This window comes from Homo sapiens, chromosome 16 (assembly GCF_000001405.40).
Source record: "Homo sapiens chromosome 16, GRCh38.p14 Primary Assembly".
Classification (NCBI taxonomy): Eukaryota; Metazoa; Chordata; class Mammalia; order Primates; family Hominidae; genus Homo; species Homo sapiens.
This window is the reverse complement of record NC_000016.10, coordinates 71,271,799-71,281,391: the sequence shown is the minus strand read 5'-3', so window position 1 is coordinate 71,281,391 and position 9,593 is coordinate 71,271,799.

The window sequence follows — 9,593 nt, the reverse complement described above, 5'->3', positions numbered from 1 at the left end:
TTGTTTCCTTTGTAATCTGTTTAATTTGAACAAAACATACACTTAGTGTAAGTATTATACTCTTAAAATGATGACAAATTATTATATCGAGATGGGACAGATATGCAAGACTTGGCTGCAAATTTGTTTACTACATAGTTGACACTGAAAAGAGAGACTCAATTATTTTATAATAGGCTTCCCACACCTTTAAAAAAAAAGCTGGATAAAACATTTCGGACTGATCTTAGGAGCAGAACTCAATATAAAGCAAAAATTTCAATATGGAACAAAATATGAATATTTCAAATTCAATATTGAAATGGAAAATGAATTTCCATTTCAATGGTAAGCATTTTTTAGGGTTGGCCTAATGGGCCAAGTAGCAAGTAAACTCAAAGCTTGATACTACGTATGGTAACTCATAGTATGTAGGTATGTTTTAGGACATGTAATTAAAAGAATAATGCTCAATAGATGTATATGGGTTATTATTTTGAGCCTCTAATGCATTTTTTAGTTTATATAAAATTGCAGGCCTTGAATAATGAGTTCTCCCCTGCCCCCTTATTCTTTTATTGTCTGTTTAATATTTGCTTTTTCTTTGTTGGCCAAAACAGAAATGCAAATAAGTTATTTTTGATAACTATAAGTTTATACTGGAATGATTTGGGAGGAGGTGAAGCTTCTTTATGACCACAGATACATGAAAGTGCATTATTAGTGAAAAGATTTAAAAATTATCTGTCATTAAGCATAGTTAGCATTTAATTTCACTCAACCCAGCCTGTGGGTGATAGTGTGGCTGAGCGGTCTAATTTCACTCAACTGAAAATTTTAGTCCAATCTGCTTGTTTCACATATAGGTTGTGTACTCATGTACAAATTGTATCCATGATAATATTTCTCTGAATTTTTTGAGATCTTGATCTTTGTGTCTTTTCAGAGCCATATCAACTAGGTGTGATCATTCTGTGTTCATACCAAGTGCAGCACATCAGTTTAGCTTATTATGGGACATGTAGTATTAATATTATGGCCATATTTTAATTTATGGCTTGGATTGTTGTGATTTAAGGAAAACGTTTGTAAAGATTTTTCTTTAAACTATTTGTGTTCATTACCTTGAAATATTATACTGATCTTTGCTGATAAACATATTTTATGTGTTTCTGCATTTTTTTGCTATTTAAGATTGTGCTTCAACACCAAATTATTTTACTGGGCAAGACAGATGTGTTTTTTCTGTCTACTTTTGAGAGTTTCTATTTTGTTTCCATTGAATCCCAGGATTCAAAAATCTGTATCTATAATAGAATAGCTGGGAAAATTGAAAACAGAAATATTTTTGAGTGGATTTCTTTTTAGTAGGGTAAACAACATGCCTGCAACTACAGTAATGTTAATCTTTGTGGAGCTATTGCACTTAACTTGCTTGCATCATTCAGATTCAGCATTACTTTGAGTGATCTTACGTTGTTATGTCTTTTTTCATTTTCTTTTTTTTAGGATTATAAATTCAAGCACGTGCTCATTGTGAATAAGTATATGATATGTACTTATTTTGTATGCTATATCATCAATATAGGTTTCTACAGAATGCTATTTGATTTTGTTTTTATTATAGAAAACCTTCAGACATACACAAAATTAAAATGATGTAACAACCCCCACCCTCACCCCATGTACCTGCACCCAGTTTTCGTAACTATCAGCATTTTACTGAACTTGTTTCACCCTCCACTTTTTTTCTTGGAGTATTTTAAATTCATGAAATACATACCTCTAAATACATACAGACATACAAATACATATCTTTCACAGTTAAGCAATTTACCACACCTAACAATATCACCCAATACCCAGTCCATGTTTAATACCCATTTTCAATATCACCCAATGCCTGTTTTCCAGGTTGTCTCAGAAATACCTTTTTATTGTTGTTGTTTCCTTTCAGATAAGGAGCCAAATAAGGCTTCTTCTGTTTATTTGATGTTTCTGAGGTCTCTCTTAATCGATTTAGTCCCTGTCCCCGAGCCCAGCCCCAACATTTTGTTGGCCATGCCATTTAAATGGCTGAAGAACTGGTTATTCATCCTGTAACCTTTTTTATAATCTGAATTTGGCTGATTAGTTATTTGTGATTACTTTTTAATTGCATTTCTATGCCACAGATTTCCCATAGATTGGTAGGTAGATTTGCAGAATTGATTGCTTTTTGCAAGAATAGTTCGTGAGGGTGGTGTGTACTTTCTTTTCATCACTTCACAAGCACAAAATGGCTAGCTGCTTCCCTCAGTTATATTAAGGTTAATCAGTTTAGATATTGTCAACCTGATCCATCAATTAAATTTTCTATCTTTCACTTAATAGGTTTAGCATCCACTGAATATTGATACTAGCTCTATTTATTAAGGGTTGCAAGCAGTGTTTTCCTAACCAGGTTCCTTCTGTATTAACTGAACTTTAATGAAGATGAATTCATCAACTATTTTTTTTCTGAAGTAGTTTAGGAAAAGCTGGACAGATGTTTAATTTCTTTAACCTTTATCAATTTTCAGAAAGATAAGTTTGTGTCTTACCAACCTTGAAAGGTGACCAATGAGATTTCGTTGTTGTGGTTGTGGTTGTTTTTAAACTCTCTAGGAACTCATGGTTGGTTGTATACTGGATACATTTTAATCAATTATGACTATTCTTACTTGATGTTCAAATTACTCAAATTTGGCTTGGGTGGGTAGGGGAAGGGCTCCTTCATGTTGATGCCTGTGTCATTTTTTAAAATGTAATTCAACAGTCTGATAGCTTTCACACATTCTGGCATAATATGCACCTGTTTCATTGTGTATATTTTCTTCCCAGGGCTCACATCCCCCTGATTTTAGTGGCTATAGTGCAGTGGATCTCAAAATGTTGGGCCTCAAAATTTAGTCTCTCAATAATTATCAAGGAACCCAAAGAGCTTTTGTTTGAGAGTTATATCTGTTGATATAATTCATGTCAGATTAATAACTGAGACAAATTTTATTAATGTTAATATAACAATGATAAAACTATTGCATGTCATAATTTTTTATGAAAAATATCTTTCAAAACAAAATGTAGTGAGAAATGTGATATTTACATTCTTGTGAATCACTTTTGTCTTTATAATAGGAGACAGCTGGATTCTCATCTGATTCTACAATCTGTCGGAATACATTGTTTTGGTTGAAATATTTAAGAAAATATGGCCTCATATAGATATGAAGTTGGGAAAGGGAGGAGTATTTTAATAACCTTTAAGGTAATTATGGATTTTTTTGATGTTACATCAAAATTTGGCAGGTAATAGTTTCTTAAACATTGGTTGCAATGAAGAATCAAGCTATATTATGAATTTTTTTGACTCTTACACTAAAATCCATTGATCTGTCTTGTACTTTGAATGGATCATTTACCCATATGTGGTTTTTTTAACACCATGAATTTGTCATTTGAAAAATATTGGTTCACTGAGTTATGCAGATCATGCAAATGTTGACACATTTGATTATACATTATGCAAAAAGTTACATTTTAAAACATCACCACTGATCTCATCAAACAAATCTAAGTATTGGGAAGCTGTCAAGCTCAGAGTGATGGACACATGTTTTATAAAATTCTAATTTTTCCTTGAATGCTCAAATTTTATCATGTCAAAAAACACTGACAGTTGTTTTCCTTGAAGCGTTGCTCACTTTATTCATTTTTGAGAAAATATCTGCCAAATACTCGTCTAACTATCGTTTGCCAGTTTTTCTTTCCAGTAAAAATGGTATTTCATGAAAAATGCACCATTTGACTTTGCAACTCAGTTACACAAATGGTTTTCCTGGAGGCACTCGTTCTACTTTGGGGTGCAGCAAGAGCTTTATGTGTACACAACTTTCCATTTCTTCAATATTATTAAAGTCATGTACTCTTAAGAGCAAGACTTAATACAATTAATATTTTTTGCTACTTCATCAAGGACATTCTTAAGTAAAAATGGCTCCCTCTGACCCCCATTATGAGCATGTATGATGAAGAATACAATGCCTACTAGTATAGTTTGGTGCCCTGCCTTGATTTGTGCTAAGGCAACAGCAGTTTTGCTCACCACTGCTTTGCACCATCAGTGCAACTACTGACATTGTGAAAAGATGCATAATGTCTTAGTTTCAATGCAGGCAAACCCCAAAATTGGGGCTCAGCCCAGGAGGGTTCTTGGCTTCACACAGGAAATAATTCATGCGTGAACCAACAGAGCAAAGCCAAAGCAAGTTTATTCGAACAACAGACAGCAGCAGCAGCCCTGTGGATTGCTGGCTAGCAGTATATATGGCTATTCCTTGACTATATGCTACGTAAGGGGCAGTTTATTCATGACTTTTCTGGAAAAGAGCTGGGGAGTTCCTGGAACCAAGGATTCCTCCCCTTTTAAACCACATAAGGTAACTTCTAGGGGTTGCCATGGCATTTGTAATCTGTCAAGCCACTGGTAGGAGTGTCTTTTAGCATGCAAATTAATTATAATTAGCATATAATGAGCAATGAGAGCAACTAGAGGTTGCTGTAGTCACCATCTTGGTTTTCGCTGGTTTCTTTGCTGAGTTGGGTGCTGGGAACACAAGTCCTGCTGATCTCCTGTCTCAGTTTTACCATGAAAATAGTTTTTGATCTCACAGACTCTTGAAAAGGTCCATGGGCCACACTTTTAGAACTGTTACTCTAGTGTTTTCCCATTAGGTGCTGATTTTTTAGTTTACTATTTTTATTAAGGAGGTTTTCCTAGTTTTTGGAGTTTTTAAAAAACATAAATGTTTGTTTAAATGTTTCCATTTTTTAAATCAGTGGATATGAACATATTCTCTTTAATTCTGTTAATATAATTAATTGTTTTAATTACATTATTTCTTTGATTGCCTTGTTTAGGGACTGCTGTTAATGTATGTTGTATATTAGCACCTGTCTTCTGTATCTATTACTTTCTCTTAAATTATTTTTTATCTTTTTATTTTTGTTTGATTTTTAATTTCCTTTTTCTATTTCTGTTACTGTTTTCCATTATGTATGTTAGCTCTTATGTTTAACATTCATATGTGAAGTAATTGGTTTCTTCTTATTTCCTTACTGATGAAAGAAAAACTTCAGCTGAATTAAATTTAAAGGCATTTAATTCAGCAATAGACAATTTGTGAATTGGGCAGCCTCCTGAGCCAGAGTAGGCTTAGAGACTCCAGTGCAGCCATGTGGTGGAAGAAGATTTATAGATAGAAAAAGGAAAGTGATATACAGAAAACAGAAGTGAGGTACAGAAACAGCTGGATTGGTTACAGATTGGCATTTGCCTTATTTGAACAGGGTTCAAACAGTTGGCTACATTTGATTGGCCAAAACTCGGTGACTGGCACAAGCGTAAGCTCTGATCTGTTTATACCTCCACTTGTTATAGTTCATGATGTACAGAGAAACCTTTAGGCTGAACTTAAAATATGTAAGGTGGCAGCTTCAGGCTAAACTTGATTTAACATTACTGAGCTCTATTTTTTTTTATCTTCCTGCTGACTAATCATGTAAACTGTATTTTTCTATTTTAATTTATGTTGTTCTTTTAGAGCTTCTGTTTTCTTCTTTAATAGCACTTAAATCCATCTTGTGACTTTTTTTTTTTTTTTTTGAGATGGGGTCTCGCGCTGTCACCCAGGCTGGAGTGTGGTGGCGCGATCTCGGCTCACTGCAAGCTCCGCCTCCCGGGTTCACATCTTGTGACTTTTCTTAGTGTGCTTCCTTTGGGGTATGTTTCTCATATCATTTTCTGCCTTTTCCTTGCAATATCACTATATATATATGTTTAATTACAATCATTTTCTATGGCTCTTGTTTAAATGAGATGCATTTTCCTGAACTTTTAGGAAGTTTTAGGTTCCTGTGTGATAGTGGAAGTGGACCAAAATAGATAGCTTTCCTAGCACAGTATTTTCAGGGCTTTCTCCTTTAGTGTTACTTTAAAAGATTTTAAAATATGCCCTCTGTGTGTAGCCACCTTTATAGTGCTTTTAAAGCTATGTCTTCCCTGGTTCTCTCCCTCACCAGTATCTGAACCTTCTCTTTTCTTTTACCTCGTCTATGTCTGGCTTCTTTCACTCATTATGTTTGTGAGATTAATTTATGTTGTTTCATGTATAGGATTCCATTATATAAATATATAACTTATTTATTCTACTATTGCTTGATACTTGGGATATTTTCAGTTTGGGCTGCTATAAACATTCTTCTATATACCATTTGATGCTCATATGAATGCATTTCTGTTGGATATTGGATTAATTATCTGGGGCTGCTATAACAAAGTACCACAAACTAAGTGACTTAAACAACAGAAATTTATTATCTCACATTTTTGGTGGCCAGAACTCCAGGATGAAGATGTTAGCCAGGCCTGTCCTCACTCTGAAGGCACTAGGGAAGGATCTGTTCCAGGCTTCTCTCCTAGCTTCTGGGACAGCTTTGACTTGCAGTAGCGTAACTCCAGTTTTCACAGGGAATTTTCCCTATGTAAGTGCTTCTGGGTTCAAATTCCCCCTTTTCATAAGGACACCAGCTATCTACATTTGCAACAACTCTATTTCCAAATAAGGTCACATTCTGTGGTACTGGGGTTAGCACTTCAACATACAAATTTTTGGCAGACACAATTTAGACCATGACAGGTATATACCCAGAAGTGGAATTGCTAAATTATCAAGTGGCTAGTAGATACTACCAACAGTTTTCCACAGTAGTATACTAATCTACACTCCAAGTAGTCATGTGTCAGACTTCCAATAGGGTATAGTAATGTTTGGCACCTTATTTAGTTCAGTATAATTTCAAAATGAACAGAAGAATTGCAAGAATAGTACAAGGAACTCCCACGTCTCCTCTATCAAGATTCATCAGTTGTTTACATTTTTCCCTATTTGATTTATCATTCTGTGGGTGCATATAATTTTATTATCTGAACCATTCGAGAGTAACTTGGAGACATTTTGCCCCCTTAAATACCTAGGTATACATTTTCTAAAAACAAGGATATTCTCTTATATAACCACAGTGTAATGATCAAAGTCAGACTATTTAACATTGATGTAGTACTATTATCTAATCCATAGTCCATATTCAAATTTCAATAAGTGTCTAATTAATGTTCTTTATAGCTCCTCTGCCCCTCTGTCCCTAGTCCAGATCTGATCCATGGTCATTCATTGTATTGGTTTTTATGTCTGTTTAGTCTATTTGAATCTGGAAGAATTTCTCAGCCAATCTTTGTCTTCTTGGCCTTGGAATTTTCAAAGTGTTTAGGTCAGTTATTTTATATATTGGCCCTCAATTTGCATTTGCTTTATGTTTCCTCGTATTTTGATTCAAGTTATAGATTTTTGGCAAAACCCCATAAAACTGATAGTATTTCCTTTTCAGTGCATCATGTCAGGAGGCACAGGATGTTGGTTTTTTCCCAATGTTAGTAATGTTAACTTTGATCACTTGGTTAAGATGTTGTCTGCCAAGTTTCTCCATGACATTACTAGCCTTGATTTACTGATTCTTTTTTCTGCCATCTTCAATCTGTTAATTCCATCTAGAAAATTTTTCATCTCAGGTGTTTTAGTTTTCAGTTCTGTGATTCCCATTTGATTCTCTTTTATAGTTTCTATTTTTCTGCTGATATCCTCCATATGTTCATATCATATGATCATATTTTTCTTTAAGTCTTTTAACCTACTTATAATAGTGACTTTAAACTTGTTTTCTACTAATTCTAGCAATTGGGTCCTCTTAGGGTCAGATTTTATTGACTGGTTTTTCTCTTAACTGTGGATTACAATGTACCGTCATATGTCTAGTAATTGTTTTGGCCACCAGACATTGTGGGTGATATGTTGTGATAATTTCTGAATCTCTTGTATTACTCTGAAGAGTGTGGATTTTTGTTCTGATGGGCAGTTAACTTGGCTGGCTCAAATTCCAGACTACTCACATGTTTTGGGCAGCCCCTGAAAGTTCTGCTTAGTTTTTTCAGCCTTTCCAGCTGTTGTCATTTGCTGGCAGCCTCATAGTCTTCTCTGTGTATTTGTAGTTCAGAGGTTGGTCAAAGATTGGGTAGAAAATATAGAGAGATTTTAGAACTCCTATTTCTTTAACCTCCTTCTTATTGGGATTCCCCCCGTTTCAGCTACTATTGGAGACCTCAACTGTATTATCTGACTCAGTAAGCCCATAGGATTACAGATTTCTGCTTGCATTTTAGCCTCCCTATGGGGAACAGACTAGAGAGTATCCTTAAGCAAAAAGCCTTTGAAATACAAATATTCCTCCATCTTAGTTACCTTAGTTTAGAGGTCAACTCCCCTCTAGTTTCTGCCACCTTTTGGTCTGTCTCTCTCCAGTGCCTTCAAATAACTGTTTTCAAAAAAACATTTCATTCAGAGTTATAATTATTATCTGCTAGAGAGAGTTAAACCTATACAAGCTACTCCACTATAAATGCAGAGGTATTTTAGAACAGTATTTGTTTTTAGCTTCTCTATACTTAAATTTAATTACAGTAATGAAAGTGGTTTTATTAATGTAGTTCACACCTGGCCTAGTAGTCACGAATTAGTCACCAAAGAACCTGTGGTATTTGAACATAGTTACTAATGCCTAAGCACGTCAGTTTTAAGAATATGCATATTTCTGCTAATGTTGATTAAATCTCTTATGAAAATTGAGGTGGTACAGAAAACTTGGAGTTCATTTCAGGCTAAATAGGTCTCTGTGTGAAATAGCTGTATTATTGTATTTCTGGTTCCTAAATCAATTAGCAGAATAAGGGGCAAGTAATTATGCTTTTTAATTTCCAAGGTTCCATTAACTAGACTTACAGAGTTACACTGTACTTTGCTTACTTAAATATTATTTCTGTCCTTGTCCTATTGAAATGGCAGATAATGTTAAAGACTTTTTTTTTTTTTCTGTAAACTCTGCAATTAAGGGGGTGAATTTTGGAGACTCTGATAGTTAGCAGAGGAATTTTAACTAGGATTTCAAAGACCAGGAATGCAATAGTATACAGGTAAGTTGTTTTCTAATCTTTGTATTTTGTTTAAAATTGCTTTGACTCACAAAGAGTTCCAAATTATGTCATCTGTAACATGTATTCAAGAATGTATAATTCAAGATATGCAGGTTTTTTTCCCTCCAACTTTATTTTTTGAAAAATTTGAAACCTACAGAAAACATGCAAGAATTGTACAATGACTGTCTTACATCCTTCATCTGGATTTATCAATTTTCAATATTTGGAATTTATTGGTCAATTAGTTTTTACATAAGGATAGAGGCTTATTAATTTTGTTCCTGCAGAGAAGTGTCAATAATTGCTAAACTGCTCCCCATCACCTTTTAAGATTTGCCTGCCTAATTCCTGTTGCTTAAACCTTGTGACCTTCTTACCTTCCAGCCCACCCTCTCCCTTATCAGTTGATTGGACCAAGTTTGGTCAGCTCTCTGGAATGTAAGACCAAAAGATGATTTCAGCTGATCAGAGTCTTTTGCAATTGGAGAACTTAGAGAGAGGCAGTGAGGAG